This window comes from Homo sapiens, chromosome 15 (genome assembly GCF_000001405.40).
Source record: "Homo sapiens chromosome 15, GRCh38.p14 Primary Assembly".
NCBI lineage: Eukaryota > Metazoa > Chordata > Mammalia > Primates > Hominidae > Homo > Homo sapiens.
In genome coordinates this window covers 30813011-30833135 of record NC_000015.10, presented here as the reverse complement: position 1 = coordinate 30833135, position 20125 = coordinate 30813011, and the positions used below count along the sequence as shown (strand labels likewise).

Below are 20125 nucleotides of genomic sequence, written 5' to 3'. Positions count from 1 at the left end.
GATAACTACTGTATTTAAAAGTATGGGAAAGAGGCAAGCAAACCTACTGTGTTTCACAGCTACATAGCATACTGTCCCTTCCTCAAGACTTCGATGAGAATATGGTAGCAGCATTCTGTCCTATAAATGTGAAGGGTTGTGTCTATGGAGACACAGGTGGGCAGATCATGCCCTGCTCAACCTCCTGTTCTTACCTGACCGCATGGAGACAATCCTGGCTCAACCTCCTGTCCTTACCTGACCACACGGAGACGATCCTGTTGACGCCATCCATGATTGTGAGAGGGTCGTGGTGCCACTCTGAGGAGCACTGCCGGTCAAATTCCACCCTGAGTCCTTCTGCACCTGGAGGACAGGCGAGCACAAAACATAGCAACCACTCCAGATCAGCACCCAAAGTAGAAACAGTGCACCAAGGAGTTAACAGTGAGATTAAAACCACATTTAACAGCTAATGAATAGCAGAAAGTCAGAAAGAACTGGCCTCAAAGGCAAGCATCTCAAGACTGACCACCCTTTCCCCAGCTCATCCCCACTGAAGATTATGTCTGTGGACTGGAAGGCCAGAAAACACTTCCACTTGGCCAATTTGTTTTGTGCAGTCACTCCCGGGCAGACTTTCCTACTGCAACTCCACTCCCCTGATCAAGCTTTACAGCGAACATCACACTGACCAGGGGCTGTGGGAATGCCCAGTGTGCAGCCAAGTCAGATGGCAGCTGTGGGTCACCTGGGGAGTGAGCGGCATTGGAGGTGAGGAGCACCTCAACTTCTGGCGTGTCCAGAGAACTGGAGAACCGCTTGGTGTGGAGAACCCGCACATCTGGTGTGAGAGGTGTGCGAGCAGAGGCACAAGAGTTTTCCTTCAGGCTGGAAGATCTAGCAGAGGATGGCACTGAGAGGCCGGGAAAGAGGCAGGGGAGGAAGGAGGGAAGAAGGAGGGACGTGGGGCAGGGGCTCAGGTCCTCTCTTACGGTTACAGGGTTGACAGGCTTGGACTGGTTTTAAGATACTATCTCTGCATGCTCTGTTGGGAGCTGATTCTGGGGGGGCCGCAGGAGGTGGGGAGTGGAAGCAGGAACACAGGGAGGCAGCTAGTATGTGGTTGCTAGGATGATAAACTGGGTGAGACCCCGCGGTGCTCTAGCCCAGAATGTCTAGAGTGAGGGAAAAATGGTTGAATTTGGAATATATTTTAAAAGCAGAGAAAACAGGATTTGCTGGTGGACTGGATATAAAGCGAGAGAGAAACAGAAGAGAAAAAGGGTCACAAGATTTTCATCTAGGCAAATGCTGACTAGAAATACCTTTTGTTCTTTAAATTTCTATCATGAAGTAATAGCTTAAAGTTTAAAAATGCTTTTCTGAGCCAGATGTAGTGGTACACGCCTGTAATCCCAGCACTTTGGGAGGCCTAGGCAGGAGCTCGCTTGAGCTCAGGAGTTCAAGACAGGCCCGGACAACATGGTGAAATCCTTTCTCTATATAAAATTTTAAAAATTAGCTGGGCACGGCCTATAGTCCCAGTTACTCAGGAGGCTAAGGAAGGGGAATCGCTTGAGCCCAGAGGTTGGGGCTGTACTGAGCCAAGATCGTGCCACTGTACTCCAACCTAGGTGACAAAGTGACAAAGCTTTTCTGAATCTCACCTCATTCTAAAAGTTCAAGAAAAATGATTTCACATAAAAATGAGCAAGATACAAGTATAAGACCAAATACAATAAAAAGTTATTGTTAGAAAAAGGGAATAGGCTGGGCACGGTGGCTCACACCTGTAATTCTCAACACTTTGGGAGGCCCAGCTGGGAGGATCGCTTGAGCCCAGGAGTTTGAGACAAGACTGGGCAACATAGAGAGACTCGTCTCCACAAAAAATAAAAATAAGTTAGCCAAGCGTGGTGGCACAAGCCTGTAGTCCCAGCTTCTCAGAAGGCTGATGGGGAAGGATGGCTTGAGCCTGGGAGGTCGAGGCTGCAGTGAGTCAGAATCATGCCACTGCACTGCAGCCTGGGTGACAGAGCAAGACTGTGTCTCCAAAACAAAGTGAGAATAAGGAACAAAATAACATCCCTATAGGCAATAAAAGCAGGCCAGAAAGATATGCCCCCAAAACATGTCAACCCTATAATCTATCATCTCAAAAGAAATTGAGTGAAATTAGAAAAATGATACAAGACGTGAAAGAACCACATAAATCAGACTTAGGAAAATGAAGAAACTAAATAAAGCTGAAGACAGAATTACAATGAAAACAAAACTACATTCCAATGGAGACTAAAACAGAGTGTAAAATCAAATAAACACAGTAGATGCTACCTTAAGACAAATAGGAAAAAAAGAGGAAGTTTTTAAAAAATAAACAGAGGTAAAAAGTACTTGAAAGAGAAAGTAACCAACACTAACTCTAAAAGGCATGAGGTATGCAACGCATGGAGAGTTACCAAGCGTCCCTAGAAAAGACTGCTAAGCAATGCTACAGAACAAACACTGCAGACTGCAATTCAAGAGAACATCCTGCAAAACAGACTTGGGATGACAGACTAAAAGAGCACCCCTTACCCGAGAACATCACAGAGAACAGGCACACGAACGCACATTCTAGTGAAATCACCGAAAAAACACACGCAGCTTCTAACCGAGAACATCACCGAGAACGGCCACATGAACATACATTCTAGTGAAAGCAACAAAACAACACATGCAGCTCCTAACTGAGAGCATCACCAAGAACGGCCACACGAACGTATATTCTAGTAAAACTACCGAAAAAACACACGTGGCTCCTAACCAAGAACACCACCGAGAACGGCCACACGAATGCACATTCTAGTAAAACTACCGAAAAAACACACGTGGCTTCCAACCCAGAACATTACCGAGAACGGCCACACGAACATACATTCTAGTGAAATTACTGAAAAAACACACTCGGCTTCTAACTGAGAACATCACCGAGAATGGTCACACCAATGTATATTCTAGTAAAATTACCGAAAAAACACACCTGACTTCTAACCGAGAACATCACCGAGAACGGCTACACAATCGTATATTCTAGTAAAATTACCAAAAAAACACACGCGGCTTCTAACCGAGAACATCACTGAGAATGGCCACACCAATGTATATTCTAGTAAAATTACAAAAAAAACACACATGGCTTCTAACCAAGAACATCACCGAGAATGGCCACACCGACGTATATTCTAGTAAAATTACAAAAAAAAAAAAACACACACGGCTTCTAACCGAGAACATCACCGAGAACGGCCACACCAACGTATATTCTAGTAAAATTACTCAAAAAACACACATTACTTCTAACCGAGAACATCACTGAGAATGGCCACACCAACGTATATTCTAGCAAAATTACTGAAAAAACACACGTGACTTCTAAGGGGGAAAGATGCTAACATTATCACACTTTCACAGAGGAAAAAGACATGATCCAAGGCTTTAATACCCAGAAAAACTACCTTTCAAATTCAAAGGACAAAAACTCTCATGGACAAGTCTGATCTCAGGGGCTAATGAGGAATTCACTAGAGTGCACTTCAGACCCCATGAGGACCAGTCAGTAAAACTAAGACTCGAAGACTGAAAGAAAGTATAGTATGTAACAGCTATTGTGCTCTTGTAGATGCAGTATAATTATTTTAATAAATTTGAAAAAATTAGGGCATATTCTAAGATTTTTAAGAATTTCAGTAATTATACTGATGTTGGCAGTATTGAAATTATATCCTAAGTCTGTCATGTATGCAATGTGGTTATGTTAAAGCAAATGAAAAATCATGAGATATTTTATCAAACACTCTTGGAACCAGGATTTGATATGGAAGAAAGGAGAGGCAGATGTAACAGAAGCACAGACCTTGTACTTTTGAATTTGAGTAGAAGGAATCAGCATATTAGCCAGGTGAGGTGGCATGTGCCTGTACTCCTAGCTACTCAGGAGGCTGAGGCAGGAGGATCACTTGAGCCCAGGAATTCGAGGCCACAGTGAGCTATAATTGCACTACTGCACTCCAGCCTGGGTGACAGAGCAAGATCCTGTCTCTAAACGAGTAAATACATAAATAAAATATAAAACAAAAGGAAAAAAATTTTAAGTATCAGTATGAACTCAAAAGAATCCAGGGTAGACCCCAGGTGAAGAGTGGCAACCTACAAAAAACTGAGGACACCTTCTGTAGACTGCCTGGATGCTACCGAAGAACACCGGAATCACTTTGGGAGCCACACTGAAGAGGCTGCCACTGTCTAGAAACGGATAATCTTAGCTTCAACAAAGATAATCACAATACAGTAAAACAATCACATATGTTTCAATCCATGAGCTCATAGTAATATTAAAAATAAACAGGTCACCTTCAAGAAATGATAGAAAACCAATTCATTCTCTGGTAAACAGAAGGAAGACTCAAGCTTTTATCTTGTCTTTCTCAGTGCTGTTTGCCTGGGCAACCAACTGTAGGATGAGGGGAAATGTCTCTTTACAAGAAAGTATTCCAGCTAATAAATAAGCAAGAAATGATTCCACTAGAATAGCACCATTTGTAGCCCCTCATGGGCCAACGGCCTCGGGTGCTAATAAGCCTCAGGGACTGCTGATGTCACAAAGGAAAGACAGGCAGGCAGGAGGTGCCTGCTGAGGCTGAGTCACAACCACTAAGGAGCTGGCAAAAGGGGCGGAACTTATGGGCCTCCGAATCGGGCAGCACCTTGCAGAAGGACGGGCCTGAGGAACACACTGAACAGCAGCACACGTGTCCAGTCAGCAGATCCAGGCTGCAGTGAAGCCTGCCAGATCAAAGGCCGGGGCCTCAACAATTTTCTTCTTAATAATTTTTCTTGAGTTGTTAAAAAGAAAAGGAAAAGAAAAAGAAAAGAAAGATACACACATGGGTAAAAGAAGCTGCCCAGAAATGCAAGTCAGTGATGGCTCAACATCAGGAGAGCATCACTCAGAGGGACGTCAGGGGACACGCTGAGGGCTTCCAGAATCTGCCACAGGTTATGTCTAGACCTGGGTCATGATGACTAGGGCATCTGTCTGATTATCATGAAGCTAAACATTTACTTTGTGTGACTTTCTGTGTCATGATTTATTGTGCAAAAGAAGTTTGTTGGAAAAGGGGAGAAAAATGATTCTAAAGCAAGTCTGTAACTTTTTTTTATAAAATGGAGACGGTTGTTTCTACTGAAGCAATTACAGAATCACATCATTCTGAAGGTGGGAAAGGCTGCAGCTCCCCCCTGGGGCCAGCCCCCGTACCTGGTATCTTCACTGTGCCACTGGTGGAGGTGTCGTCGGTGTAAGGGTGGCTACTCTCCACCACCACAGGCTGAGAAGAGAGGCGGCCGCTCTGCAAGTCTTGTGGCCACATCCTCCAACTCGGTGACACAGAGCTCCAACAGCATATCTGCCACCTGGGGAGGAAGCAATGACATGAATGAGGGGGCCAACAGCCCCACACCTGGTCACCTGCATGCCACCTCTGCCCGTCCTGCTCAGGAGCTCCACAAGGACAGCGTGGCAGAGTGGAGGGCTTGGAGTTTGAGAAACTGAGTTCAAATCAGGGCTTGGCTTCCTTGCACATAAAACAGAGACAGCACAGAGCTTGTAAGATGCTGTGAAGCTTAGAGATGATCTATATTAAAAAGTCGTTGGGGCCAGACGCTGTGGCTCACGCCTGTAATCCCAGCACTGTGGGAGGCCGAGGCAGGCGGATCACCTGAGGTCAGGAGTTCAAGATCAGCCTGACCAGCATGGAGAAACCCCATCTCTACTAAAAATACAAAATTAGCCGGGCATGGTGGCGCATGCCTGTAATCCCAGCTACTTAGGAGACTGAGGCAGGAGAATCGCTTGAACCTGGGAGGCAGAGATTGTGGTGAGCCTGAGATTGCACTATTGCACCCCAGCCTGGGTGACCCAAGCGAAACTGCGTCTCAAAAAAAAAAAAAAAAAAAAGTCATTGGGTGGAGCACAGTGGCTCACACCTGTAATACAAGCACTTTGGGAGGCTGAGGCAGGCAGATCACTTAAGGTCAGGAGTTCAAGACCAGCCTGGCCAATATGGGGAAACCCTGTCTCTACTAAAAATACAAATGATTAGCTGGGCTTGGTGGCCTGCACCTGTAGTCCCAGCTACTCAGGAGGCTGAGGCAGGAGAACTGCTTGAACTCAGGAGGTGAAGGTTGCAGTGAGCTGAGATCGTGCCACTGCGCTCCAGCCTGAGCGACAGAGAGATATTCTGTCTCAAAAAGAAAAGAAAAAAAAGTAGTTGGAAGGCTCCCAACACACACAACACTTAATATGTGCCAGGTGATAAAATGAAACACCGTGGTGACAATAGCTTCATTTTACACCAAGACAAAATTACTTCCTAGTGAGTAAAGTTGGCCTCGGAAACAAAAACATCAAGGGAAGGAGCACCCAGTACGTGAAAATGACCACAATCTTAGAAGGCAAGGGAGCCCAGTGGGAGGGGCGGGAATCAGGAACCATCAAGCTGCCCAGGCCAGACAGAGACAGGGAGAGTCTGTGACAGGAGGGACCACCAACCCCAACACAGCTGCCCCTCTTGACCCAGTACACTAGTGGTCAGACCCATACCACATTCTCAACAATCCACAGTGTTCTTATTTTATTTTAAAAATTATTGGTGATTCACATCTTTTACAATTCAAGTTAAGAGTGATTATAAGCTGTTATTTTTAAAAATAAATGAGAGAATACATCATAATAGCAATAATCTATTAACTCCAAAATTTTCAATCCAGAAAAAATAAAATTCTTCTAATGCCCATTCTATACTTTTTAGAAATAGATTATTCTTTTTTCAATTTTTCCTCACATTTAGGTAAGAAATAGCTTTGCTTAGTAAATATATTATATATTAATAACTAATATCATTGTCATATAGGCATGATTTTAAATCTAAATTTGTCTCTCTTTTTGAGTCGCAAATATCAGGTCAGGGCAAGACACAGAAATAGCCATCTTGCCAATCTGGCAAGGGCAGTATGAAAACGGCCATATCCTTATTCCTGTCTCTCCTGGAACCTGGTTGAGTTACTGAAAGCAGATGTTGGCATCATCAAGCGCCCATATGCAGAGTCGACCAGGGGCTCTGGCCTTCAGAAGGTTGCTCTGCCAAGCGCATCATCTGCAGAAGGGTCATGACGGAGCTGGGGCTCAGAGCACTCAGGGTTCCAACCCATCTCTTCCACCTACCAGAAAAGTGAGTGTCCTCAAGCCAGTAATAACCTCTCAGCCTCAGTGTCCTCATCCATATATAAAGGTAACCCCTCCTATCTGTACTGAGAATGCAGGGATGTGCATGGCAAATGCTCAGCATTATTATAAATCGAAGTTCTGATTCATACCCTTCCCTCTCACAAATGCAATAAACTTATGAAAAATAATAATAGTGCTTAAGGCAATTCACCTCGATTTCATCTCTCAGAATTACACCAAGTAACTCGTCTCAAAAAAGTAGAAAAAAGGAAGCCTACAGCTTTTTAGTTCTTCATGAATAGCAGATGAAGAAATAACAAGCCCCTAAAATATCCACCAAATAAATCTTTGCTGTGCTTTCAAGACTGCTCAACTCTACTTAAGTACTTTATCGTTTTGGTGATCATGTAAGTTACTAAAATTTCTGACTATCAGAGCTTTAACGTTTCAGAATTGCAGATAAAGGACTATGAACTTGCATTTAATGATTTTTTTTAAAAAATCTAATTCTACTTATAAACTTTAGAAGTTCTTTTAAAGACAATATTCTTCTAACTAAAGCCAAAAATCCTAACAGGCACAGAAACTGCCTAAACTGAGTGACAGAGTAAGACTTTCCTCCACACCAAGTAGCCACCCAGAGAAATGGATGAAGTGTCTGCAGCCAGGAAGGACATCTCATGCCCAGCCACTTTGTCTTTAACTTTGTAGTCTGAGGGCACTGTGCCTGTGAGGATATATAGGTCTTCCCCACTGCCACACTGTGGGGTCAAAGCCTGGTCCATTAGGCTGTTGAGATTCACGTACCACCATTCCTGGAAGGACTGAGTCATCGGGCTGAATTTGTGAGAATAAACGCGGCCACCTGGAGATCACTGCCAAGGGAGAAAGGGTACAGCTGTCCTCTTTGGTAATCAGAATCAAGGTAATCTGTATTCAAGGCTTGCTTACATCCCAGGCTGTTCTCAGAGGTGATGGCCTCTGCCTCATTAATCACCTCCTCAAGGTTGCTGTTGGGGTCATCGATCTGCGGCTCCACCTGCCATTTGGTAATTTCACAATACAAAGCGAAAAAAGAATGCCTCTTTACCTCTTCAGTTTTGGTCATGGTTTCTGCAAAGATGCTTGCAGCTCCCGGGTCATCCGTCACTGTGATAAATGGCCCAGCGGAGGCTGAGAGGGCCGATGGAGTCACTGCAGAGGGGGTCACCACGTCCTCAGAGGAAACAATCTAGTCGAACAGTGCACAGTAGGGGAAGTTTAAGTGGAAAAACTCAAAAACATAACACGTTTCCTACTCAAGTCCCAAATGCTTTATTTAAAACTACTTGGGCTGTTTGGAATGTTCCAGATTTTACAGAGGTAACATGGTGCCTACCCGACATAGCCACTACCACCCCCAGTCGGGCCTAGGACAATTGTGCAAAGTCGAGTACATTCATATTTTCAAGAAAAACTATTAATATTCACAGCAGGTCACATGAACCAGACTAAAATGAGTTCACGTATCTTCAAGTTGGTTCTTTCCCCCAAAGTAAGTTACTAAAGTTCAGAACTTTAAGGTTTCAGAATTGCAGATAAAGGACTGTGAACTTATATATATATATATATATTTTTTTTTTTTTTTTTTTTTTGACAGAGTCTTGCTCTGTCACCCAGGCTGAAGCGCAGTGGCGCGATCTCGGCTCACTGCCAGCTCTGCTTTCCCGGGTTCATGCTATTCTCCTGCCTCAGCCTCCCGAGTAGCTGGGACCACAGACGCCCACCACCAGCCTGGCTAATTTTTTGTATTTTTAGTAGAGACGGGGTTTCACCATGTTAGCCAGGATGGTCTGGATCTCCTGACCTCGTGATCCGCCCGCCTCGGCCTCCCAAAGTGCTGGGATTAAAGGCGTGAGCCACCGCGCTCGGCCATGATTTTTTTAAAAAAGAAATCTAATTGCACGTAAGCACTTTAAAAGCTCCTTCACCGAGAATATTCTTCTAAGTAAATCCAAAAATCAAAGCGGGAGGCACAGAAACAGCCTAAACTAAATGACAGGATGAGACTTTCCTAGGCACAAAGTAGCCACCTTTTCCTTTCTGATGTAACACTGCTTTACGATTCGCTTTTACCTCTCTCTTTTCTTGCCACGGATTTGGACTCAGTCTGTCTTCGATATCAACAGCCAGCATGCATTCTTCTCCATTCATGGGACTAGCCATCGCAAATGCGTCCGAAGCAGCCGCAGAGGGGCACTCCACCGGGGCGATCATGGCGGCCGGCATCAGGGCCCCCACTACGGCATCTCTGTCAGGACACAAAGCCAGGCCTGTGGTGAGCTGCCCCTTCTCCACTGCACCACAGGAAGTGGTGAGGCAGGACTAGCACGCACTGAGGCGTTTCCTCATTTTTACTGAATACATGTAGAAGAGTTTTGGAAAACTACCAAACATTATTACCATGTATCCTTTGGCTAATAGCTAAAATGTTTACTCTGGATCCTATTTATTTGAAAAACCAGAGTAATGACAGGTGAAAAACTGCCAAACATAAAAACCAGACCAGAATGAGACTCTGGCTCTCCCTGAGAAAGAAATCCTCTTGGGCTGCTGTGAGAGCCTGAGGGCTGGATAATTGACCAGCAGGCAATTTTGTGTTTACTGAAAGCCACATACTGAGCAGCAAGGACTCAATAGCCTCTACTGAATGTTTTTGTTCTGAAACTAATTTTCCTATGTAAGGACACCTGTCAGGTCCACATGTGTGATACATTAGCAGATGGGCAACTTATCTAGGCTGTGGGAAAGCAGCAGAAAAATACTGCAAAATGCTGCATTGGCAAAACAGCCTTCTCAAAGTGAGTGAAGGGGACGCTAAGTCGTCTTAGACATCACTATAAATTAGTATCACCTAATTCTTTTCTTCCCCCAAATATTAATGGTTAGAGTCTACTGGTCAAAAAGAATAGTGAAAATGTTCAAGTTAGTTTTCTAATTCATATTTCAATGCCTATTAAAACATGCACAAAGATATCAATCACCATCAAAGAACACGTGACTTACAACACACAGCATTTAAAGACAACAATACAACATTCTTGGAGACATCTGATCAATGAAAAAAAAATCACAAAAACCTGAAGCTCACATAATTGCAGAATTTCAAAAATTAGCACAGAAACCTACCTGGCATACATGATTTGCAATGCTGTAAGAATATGCGATAAGGCCTGCTGTTTGGCCAGGTTTCCATCCAATGACAAGAGAATCTTGGCAAGAGAAGGGTGATATGGCTTAGAATTACTTGCACCACTTATTTTATTACTGGCAGCAGAAGAATTGACATCTGAAGGCACGCCTATAACAGGAAAATAAAATTTGCATTTTGTTTTTAAGATCACAGTTTGCTCTATTTCTATAATATCTGACCTTATAGGTTAGTTCCAAAACACACTGCAATCTGCATTTTGCTATTTCACAGGGCACATATTAGGCTCATTAACAGGCCTTCAGAATAAGAAAACCACTTATCCATACTTCGATAAAGAAGCTATTTTCAGCAAAGTTTAACTGTAACTGCAAAAAGATGTAGGTGCTTTTATAAAATGCACTTACAACCGTTTATGTTATATACATATAAGCTATGAAAATGCTGCAATAACTACCTGTATTTTCTTACCCTGGTAAGGCAAGATGAAAAAAGAATACAAAACAACAAAGAGAGAAGATGTTCACCAATAAAGTCCCATCAGGCTCACTTCCCTGCGAACTCCCAGGTCTCAGTAGAGGGAGGGAGCCAGGTGGAGCTGGGACATGTGTCTATGTCAACTCATCCAAACTGATACACAGATTTAATGCAATTCCTACCAGAATTCCAGCAAGAGTTTTTGTCAAGAGACAAGATTATTCTAAAATGTATATGGAAAGGCAAAGGAGCAAGAATAGAAATAGAAAAATAAGAAGGAGGAACGAGTCTACCCAATTTCAAAAGTTGTTGTAATACCATAATCAAAACTGTGTGGTACTGGCATAAGAATCAAAGGAATAAACAGAGAACGCAGAAATAGAACCACACAAATATGCCTCACTGACTGTTGACAAATGGGCAAAAGCAACTCAGTGGAGGCAGGACAGCCTTTCAGCACGTGGTGGTGGAGCAACTGGACGTCTGTGGGCAAAAAACCCAAACTTCAGCCTAAGTCTACACCTTATGCAAAATTAAATCCAAATGGATCATGACTTAAGTAGAAAATACAAAACTATAAATCTTTTAGAAAAGAATAGGAGACAGTCTTTAGGATCTAGCACTAGGCAAAAGTATAGACTTGACACCAAAAGTATGATCTATAAAAGAAAAAACTGATGAATTAGACTTCATCAAAATTAAGCATTTTTTTAATGAAAGGAAATGAAAAGACAAGCTACAGACCAGGAGAAAACATTTGCATAACACATGTCTGCCAAAGGACTAGAAACATCTAGAATATATAATGAACTCTCTAAACTCAACAGAAAAAAAAAGCCAATTAGAAAAGGGCATGAAGACATATTTTACCAAAGAGGAGATATGGACAGTAAATAAGCACATGAAAAGATGGTTAACATAATTAGCCATAAGGAAAATATTAAAACCACAATGAGATACAATGACCTATCTATCAGTATGGCTACATTTTAAAAAGATAGTGAGGATATGGGAAAAACTGGATCATCCTCCACTGCTAATGAGAATATAAAATGGCACAGCGATTCTGGAAAACAGTTGAGCAGTTTCTTGTCAAACTAAACATAATTACCACGTGACCAGCAATCACACTCTTGGGCATTTATGTCAAGGAAATAAGAATTTATTTTCACAAAAAGTGAATTTTCACATTCACCTGTGTATGAATGACATGGCAGTTTTATTTGTAACAGCCAAAACCTAGAAATAATCCAGATGTCCTTCGATGATTGAGTATTCGATGGAATACTGAACATACTACGTAATATGTAACAACTTGGATGAATTGCCAGAGGATTAGGCTGAGTGGAAAAAGCCAAACTCAAAAGTTATACCATAATGTGACATGAAAAGAGCTATATGTTAAGAAGATACTGAGTAATTTGAACCAGAAAGGAGAAGAGGAGAGTCAAGCCTTATCTTCATCTACCCCAGAAAAGACAGCACAGGAAGGCGAAGCTACTCGCCCCAGTTCTTACAGCCAGTAACTAACACAGCCAGAAAGTCACATTCCAGTTTTTCATAAAAGCAGATGCTGCTGGAGCCTAAATGTCCCCTCCTGAGAGATAAGGGGAAAAAACAAAATATTTGTATGACAAGATGAGGTTCACTTTAAAAAAAAATTGTATTTATTTCTACATGCTAGCAAGGAGCAATGTGAATATTCCCATACAGTAGAAGAAATGATATTTTTAGAGACCATTTAATAATCTGAAATTCTTAGAGATAATCTAACAGAAGATATACAAGACCTATACAACACTGGGACTAGAAAACATTGCTGAGAGAAACTAAACACCTAACAAATAAAGAGAAACACTATGTTCATGGGTTAGAAGACTGAATACTGTGAATCCATCCTTTCACATTGACTTACAGAGTTAATGCAATCCATATCAAATTCCCAAGCAAGCGGTTTTATAAAAACTGACAAGCTCATTTTAAGTCATATGGAAATGCAAAGGGCCTGCAACAGCCAAAATATATTTGAAAAAGAACAAAGCTAAAAAACTGTTGCAACCTGAGTTCAAGCCTTTTATAAAGCTGTAGTAATCAAGACAATGTGGCATTGCCAACAAAATACACGAATAAATCAATGAAACATACTGGGAGTCCAGAAATAGATCCGTACATCTACAGACAACTGATTTCTGACAAAGGCAAAAGGCAATTCATTAGGAAAAGCATAGTTTTTCAACAAATACAACTGAAACAACTGGACAATCATGCCCAAAAAAGCCTTTCAATCTGAACCTCCCACCATATATAAAATTTAATCAACTGGTCATAGATACACATATCTAAAACTATAAAACTTCTATAACAGAACATAGAAGGAGAATCTTTATAATCTTGAGGCAAAGGTTTTGTAGACACAACATCAAAAGTACACTCTACAAAAGAATAAAATGAATAAACTAGGCTTCATCAAAATTAAAAACTTCTAATCTTTAAGATTCACCTGTGAAGAGAATAAAATGACAAGCCACATTGCCAGAAAATATTAGCAAATTCTATATTAGGCAAAGGACTTGTAACCCAGAATATATAAGGAATTCTCAAACTCAGTAAGAAAACAATCAACCTATTTAAATATAGGAAAAGACTTGAACAGACATTCACCAAAAAAGGTATCTGATTTGTAAATAAGCAAGATGCTTGAGATCATTAGTTATTAGGGAAATGCAGATTAAAACCACAACGAGATACCACTATACATCTGTCAATATAACTAAAATTAAAGACTGAACGTATCAAGGGTTGACAAAAATGTGGAGGATCTGGACCTCTGGAACATCCACTTTGCAAAACAGTATGTAGTGATCTTAAGAAGCTAGACATACACCTACCATATGATCCAACCACTCCTCTCTTAGAAGTTTACCCAAGAGAATTTCAAGTGGATGTCCATACACAAACTTGTACGGAAATGTCCATTAGCAATTTCACTTGTATAGTCAAAAACTGGAAACAGCCCAAACATTCATCAACAGAAAAATGGATAAACAAATTGCATTTGTTTATCTTAAGATACTATTCAACAATTTAAAAGAATAAACTATTGATACATGCAACATAAGTGAATCCCAAAATTATTATGCTGAGTGGAAAAAGTAAGATTTTTAAAAAGAGTATATGCTGTATGAGTCCATTTATAGTAAGCTGTAAAACATGCAAACTGGCCTGCCACAGTGGCTCCTGCCTATGATCCCAGCACTTTGGGAGGCCGAGGTGGGAGGATCACTTGAGCTCAGGAGTTCCAGACCAACCTGAGCAACATGGCAAAACCATGTCTCCACCAAACAAACAAAAATTAGCCAGGCATGGTGACATGTGCCTGTAGTCCCAGCTATTTGGGAGGCTAAGGTGGGAGGATCACTTGAGCCCAGGAGGTGGAAGCTGCAGTGAGCCGAGATCATGCCACTGCACTCCAGCCTGGGCGACAGAGTGAGACCCGGTCTACAAAAAAAAAGAAAACAAACAAATAAACAAAACACCCAACAAAACAACAACAACAACAAAAAAGAAAACATGCAAACTGATCTCTAGTGACAGAAATTAAATTGGTGCATACGGCAGGAAGGAGGGAGTTAAAAGCAAAAGGGAGGGGTACAGAGGGCCAGAGAGGAACGCTGGGGTAGTGTATGAGTTCATTATCTTTGATTGTGCTGATGCTTTCATGGATCATACATATTCCAAAGTCGATCAAAATGCATACTTTAAATAGGTGCAGTTTATTATATGTCAATTATAACTGAATAAAGCTGTTAAAAAATACAAAAGAGCCCAGTACAGTGCCTGTATCTCTCAGGCAGTTATTAGGAGTCCTGTTCACACACAAGTACAGCGCTGTGAGTTTACCTGATCATAAACACAAGAATCAGCAACATACTTTCTTCTAAAACTTTCATTCCAGCATGTATAAATCGCATGAGAGCACACCATAATTCTTCTGTGTCTTTAGATTCATAATGTAGTTAACACGGCACTACAACCTCTAATGTGTTGGCACAATTAAATAAATATAAGGTTGCTGTAACCTACTGGAAAATCTCAGAGAAGATGCAAATCTGTGTTACCTAAATAGGAAGCACCTAAAGGGTCCCTTGCAGTCTGGAAGAGGACGGGCTCGTGGACAGAGGGCGTGGCCACATCCATAGTTGTCCACGCCACACTGTGGGACGACCCGCAAGCCACACACATGATCTTCTGGCCTTCTAAGCCTTGCACGAGCATGGGCTTCCTGTTAACCGTGGTCGTGCCATTGCCCTGCTGGCCGTGGTCATTGTCACCCCAAGCATACACCTGTTTATGAGGGGAAAAATGCTTATAATTTTTCAACATTTCAGGACATTTTCTTTAATGTAATTTTTACTTCAAAATGCTTAACGTGTATGCCATGGTAGTTGAAAGAATTGAGTTCTGAAAAGTAAAAACAAACCATTTCACAATCTTACAAAATGGCATCAGTGTACTACAATTCTGAAGAAAATCTAACCATGAAAATGCTTGCCAATAACCATAAAAAGAGTATTTTCTTAATATTAATCCAATTAATTCTGTTTTGTTGCAAGACACACAGAAGGTCTTCTCTTCAAAAAAGTGCAATAATTTTTTCCCTTTTACTTTGCAAAGAAAAATGACCAAAAATAATATGCTCATTTTTCAAGTAAGTTGCTCCTTGGCCTTATAGAATTATAAAGTATAATTCATTTTGACTAAAAAAACAGTAATGGTAATTTTGTTTTCATAAATAAAATTTTAAATTGAATATCCACAGGCCGGTCATAGCGTATGCTTCTCCAAGCAGAAGAGAGTGTAACACTTGTCAGGCACCAGCTCTGTCTCTAAAATGAGGCATGGATCCCTCCTGCCAGTTAGCAATTCTCTAAAGCAAAGTCTTGCTAATACCTTGCAGTAGGAGCATCTTCAAGAATAACAATCTTTTGGCCGGGCACGGTGGCTCACTCCTGTAATCCCAGCACTTTGGGAGGCCGAGGCGGGTGGATCACGAGGTCAGGAGATCGAGACCACGGTGAAACCCTGTCTCTACTAAAAATACAAAAAATTAGCTGGTAGCGATGGCAGGCACCTGTAGTCCCAGCTACTCGGGAGGCTGAAGCAGGAGAATGGCGTGAACCCAGGAGGCGGAGCTTGCAGTGAGCCGAGATCGCGCCACTGCACTCCAGCCTGGGCGACAAAGCGAGACTCTGTCTCAAAAAAAAAATAATAATAAAAAGAATAACAATCTTTCCACACACTTTTCACGTGGACTTCAGAGTGGGAACGCCTCTTTTCTGAGGACCCCGCCCCCAACCCCTGCTGCTGAGTAGGCAGATGCACCAGCGGGCAAAAGGGACGGGTCCCGCCCCCATGGTTCTTCAAGCAGTAAGACTCGGCTGATTTCATCAACAGCTGCGATTTCAACAGGACGAGGGCCGTGTCGTGACCCCCAAGTCCCCCAAGTCAGGATGGCACGCCACCCCCAGGCCACCTGCAGCCTTACCTGCCCTGAGTCCATGACCGCCAGGCAATGCTGGGCCCCGACAGCCACATGCACGATCTTCTTCCCTCTCAGCCCTTCCACCACCTGCGGCTTCCGAACGTGCACGTCAGAGCGGTGGCCCAACCTGAAGTAATCCCCCTTTCCCCTGAGAGGAGGCCCGTGGTGGAGTGTTACAATACGGTTATGGTCTTACCATGCGATACAAGAAGACACTCATTGTCTCACATCTTTCACAGCCAGCTCAATGACATCACACACAGCACCCAAGGTCTTCGAACTTGTATTCAAAATCATACACCATTAATTCAAATTAACTTATTAAGTCAGCTGGGAAAAACCTTAATACCTTAATACATGTTCTACAATATTTAAGTTACTGTTGTAGGTTTTCATATAGACTGAAAATAAGACACACTACTGCAAACACCTATCCAAAGTCCTATCTAGTATACATCTTTCTTAAAGTGCCAATGTTGGCCAGTCGCGGTGGTTCACGCCTGTAATCCCAGCACTTTGGGAGGCTGAGGTGGGTGGATCACGAGGTCAGGAGATTGAGACCATCCTGGCTAACACGGTGAAACCCCATCTCTACTAAAAATACAAAAAAATTAGCCGGGCATGGTGGCAGACACCTGTAGTCCCAGCTACTCGGGAGGCTGAGGCAGGAGAATGGTGTGAACCCCGGAGGCGGAGCTTGCAATGAGCTGAGATTGTGCCACTGCATTCCAGCCTGGGCGATAGAGCGAGACTCCATCTCAAATAAATAAATAAATAAATAGTGCCAATGTTATGACCAGAGGCAGCAAGGCCTGACACAGCATCCAAGGCCAGTCTGGGCACCTGCTCTTTTGCACATTAATATAATAAGCTTTAACAAGAAATACATGTTAACTTTCTCAGGATCAAAGGATTCAGAAGGCTATTTTGCTCTCATTTTATCCTTAGGCTTCAGCAGAAGAAACACTTCCTATAAATCTCGCCCAAACAGGAAAGGTAAGTGGCCTAAAATTTTTCTAGTATTTTCAAAATGACCCAGTTACAATAGGAAATTTCTTCTTGTACTATTGTCACTAATCCCGACTCAATATCCTTTAAAGGACAAAGATGCATGCATAAGTAAAAATATGACAGGTCACAATCACGCCGGGGTGGTCCTGGGGCGAGGCCCAAGTTCCCTGCACGCACCGGCACAAGCACGCACACTGTGATGGGGAGGACGTTTACGTACCATGTCCACACCACTCCAGACTTGGTGAGCGCCAGTAGGAACTGAGCTCCACACTCAATCTGGCACACCCCCTGTCCATTTAGTCTCTCAATGTTCTGGGGAATGTTGCAGCCTTCACTTCCGCCCCGGCCCAATTTTCCAAAGTCACCATCACCCCAGGAAAATACCAAACCTAGGTTTAAAAATAGGGAAGGGAAGGGAAGGGAGAGAAGAAAGGAAAGATAAAGAAAGCCCAACCTCCTTCCAAAATGTCATGAGAATCTTGAGCACATATGGTCCTTGGCATGACCACATGACCTGCAGAGCCCCTGTTATAGAACTCATTTTTATATTTTCCTTAGTATAACAGTTAATGTAATATGTCATTTTTGTTAATAGTGTCTTTTTGTCATTTTACTTTTTAAAAGATTGTATTGAAATATACATACAGGAAAGTGCATCTATCATAAGTGTGCAAATTGATGAATTCTAAAATCTTTATTGTACCTGTTTAGCACCTAGATTGACACTGAACATAACTAACAACCAGAAATCTCCGTGTACTCCCTTCCTGTAACTACCCCTGCGCCCGACCAAATCACTCTCTTCTAACAGCATAACTTTGTGTGACTAGCTTTTTTAATGTAAAAGAATGAAATCTACAGCATGTATTCATTTGCATCTGGCTTCTGCCACCCAACATTATATTTGTGGGATTCATTTGTACAGTTGCATATTAGTTTGCAGATCCCTCACTCTCGTTTCTATATGGTATTATATTGCATAAACGTACCACACTTTATCTAACTACTGTTAAATATTTGTGCATCTTCTACTTGGGGGCGATTTCAAATAGTGCTGCTATGAACATTCTTGTAAATGTCTTTTGGTGAACATATGCAACACATATATGCGTTGTTGTTGGTTCCCAGGAGGGGCATTCCTGGGTCATAAACAATGCATGTGTTCAGGTTTAGTATGGTATAATGCCAAACAGGTTTCCAAAGTGTTTGTGCCACTTTACATACCCGCCATTATTGAAAAAGAGTTCTGTTTGCTCCACATTTTCACCAATACTTGATATTTTGTTTTTTTTTCTTTTAAACCGTACTAGTGGGTGTGCAGTGATATTGCAATGTGGTTTTAATTTGCATCTTCCTTGTGACAAATTAACCTTGATTACTGTAAGCCACTTGGAAATGTGATTTAAATTCATATAAAGATATAGTAGCAAAACACATAGTAAGTTACTTTCATATCCAGAAAGTTTAGATAGAATGATTTCTATGTAAGCTTTTACTGTGTAGTCTGAGTCCATGAATATTGATTACAAAAAACACATCTGTAGGTGAGTTACAATACCTCACTTATAATTCAAAATTCATGTTGTGTTAGCTCAATATTTTTCAAATAATTTTTGCATGCAATTTTCACCTTCTTTCTGAGTAGTTTCAGGTATTTTGTATGGTTCCAGCAGTCAGTTAGGTTGCCATTGTTTGGAAGCACACATCCACGTATCTGCACCATGATGATATGACACGCCCATACCCCCCATTTCACATTTTGTCAGAAGTGCATAGTTATCACTAACTTTGCCAGTAGAAATGTACTCCCAATTTCCCACAGACTTATCTTGAATAATCTCTCCACTGAAGCATAACAGGTTTTGAATTCTGTTAGAATAGTTGTTTTTACTATCTTTTAATTTTATACAAATTTCAAAGTTACGTAATACTTTTATTTAAAAAGTGAAACAAAGCTTTTCCTCTCCCTTACCCACATGTTAGCCCAGCAGAGGGGGAAAGCATTGGCCCCAGGCCAAAATCATAAACGCTTTCAATTAACTAATAATAATTGCTGGCATGTTGCCATTAAATATCCTTGTCTCATTATCCCTGGTTGCTTCATCAGACCCATAGGTCACTGAAGCCCACTTTTGAGACAAAGACTATTTCTCCCCCAAAAGTCAAGGGAAATATAAAAAGTGAAATTAGTGATTAAGCATAGAAGTCAATTAATACAATCATTTTGTCTTAATTATTTAAAGTCCAGTTTTTTTCCTCCAGCAAACCTGAAAATACACTATCCTCCAGCTATCAGAATTATATTGAGATCTACTCACATTTATGATGATGTTCAGAGATTCATCATTGGGAAGGAAAATGCACACGCTGCGGCGGTCTTGCATGACTCTGTTGTGGAAATTCAATTTGTTCATTGTGTTTTGGGCTCTCTGGGTGGTCAGGGCTGGGCTCTGGGTCCTTGGCAATTCCTCAGGTTCCCAGCACTCCAAAGCCAAGCTCACCTCCTCATCACACGCCCTGCAGGAGAAGCATCAGGGTGTCCGACTACGTGGGTTTCATAGCTGTGGAAAAGCCAAAGGGGAGACTCCTGAAGAAAGGCGGTGAAGACTGTGAAGAGCGGGTCAGGAAGATGAGCACAGCACTGCTACTCCTG

General features: G+C 42.0%; 1 long non-coding RNA gene and 2 pseudogenes across 2 annotated transcripts; all 3 read right to left on the bottom strand.

The window, feature by feature from the left end:
* Positions 1-5352: 5352 nt before the first annotated feature.
* On the bottom strand, positions 5353-15100 carry HERC2P10 (HERC2 pseudogene 10; annotated as a pseudogene). Its single transcript, NR_072991.1, has 5 exons — positions 15035-15100; positions 10418-10589; positions 9365-9539; positions 8340-8480; positions 5353-5436 (listed from the first exon to the last, which is right to left on the bottom strand). The product of NR_072991.1 is annotated as an HERC2 pseudogene 10 (transcript).
* Positions 7927-8295, bottom strand: LOC100629121 (endonuclease domain containing 1 pseudogene; annotated as a pseudogene).
* Positions 15101-15969: 869 nt separating the features above from the next.
* Positions 15970-19878, bottom strand: LOC124903453 (uncharacterized). Its single transcript, XR_007064554.1, has 4 exons — positions 19791-19878; positions 17690-17861; positions 16462-16606; positions 15970-16007 (listed from the first exon to the last, which is right to left on the bottom strand). It is a non-coding gene; the product is annotated as an uncharacterized LOC124903453 (long non-coding RNA).
* Between the last annotated feature and the right edge of the window lie 247 nt (positions 19879-20125).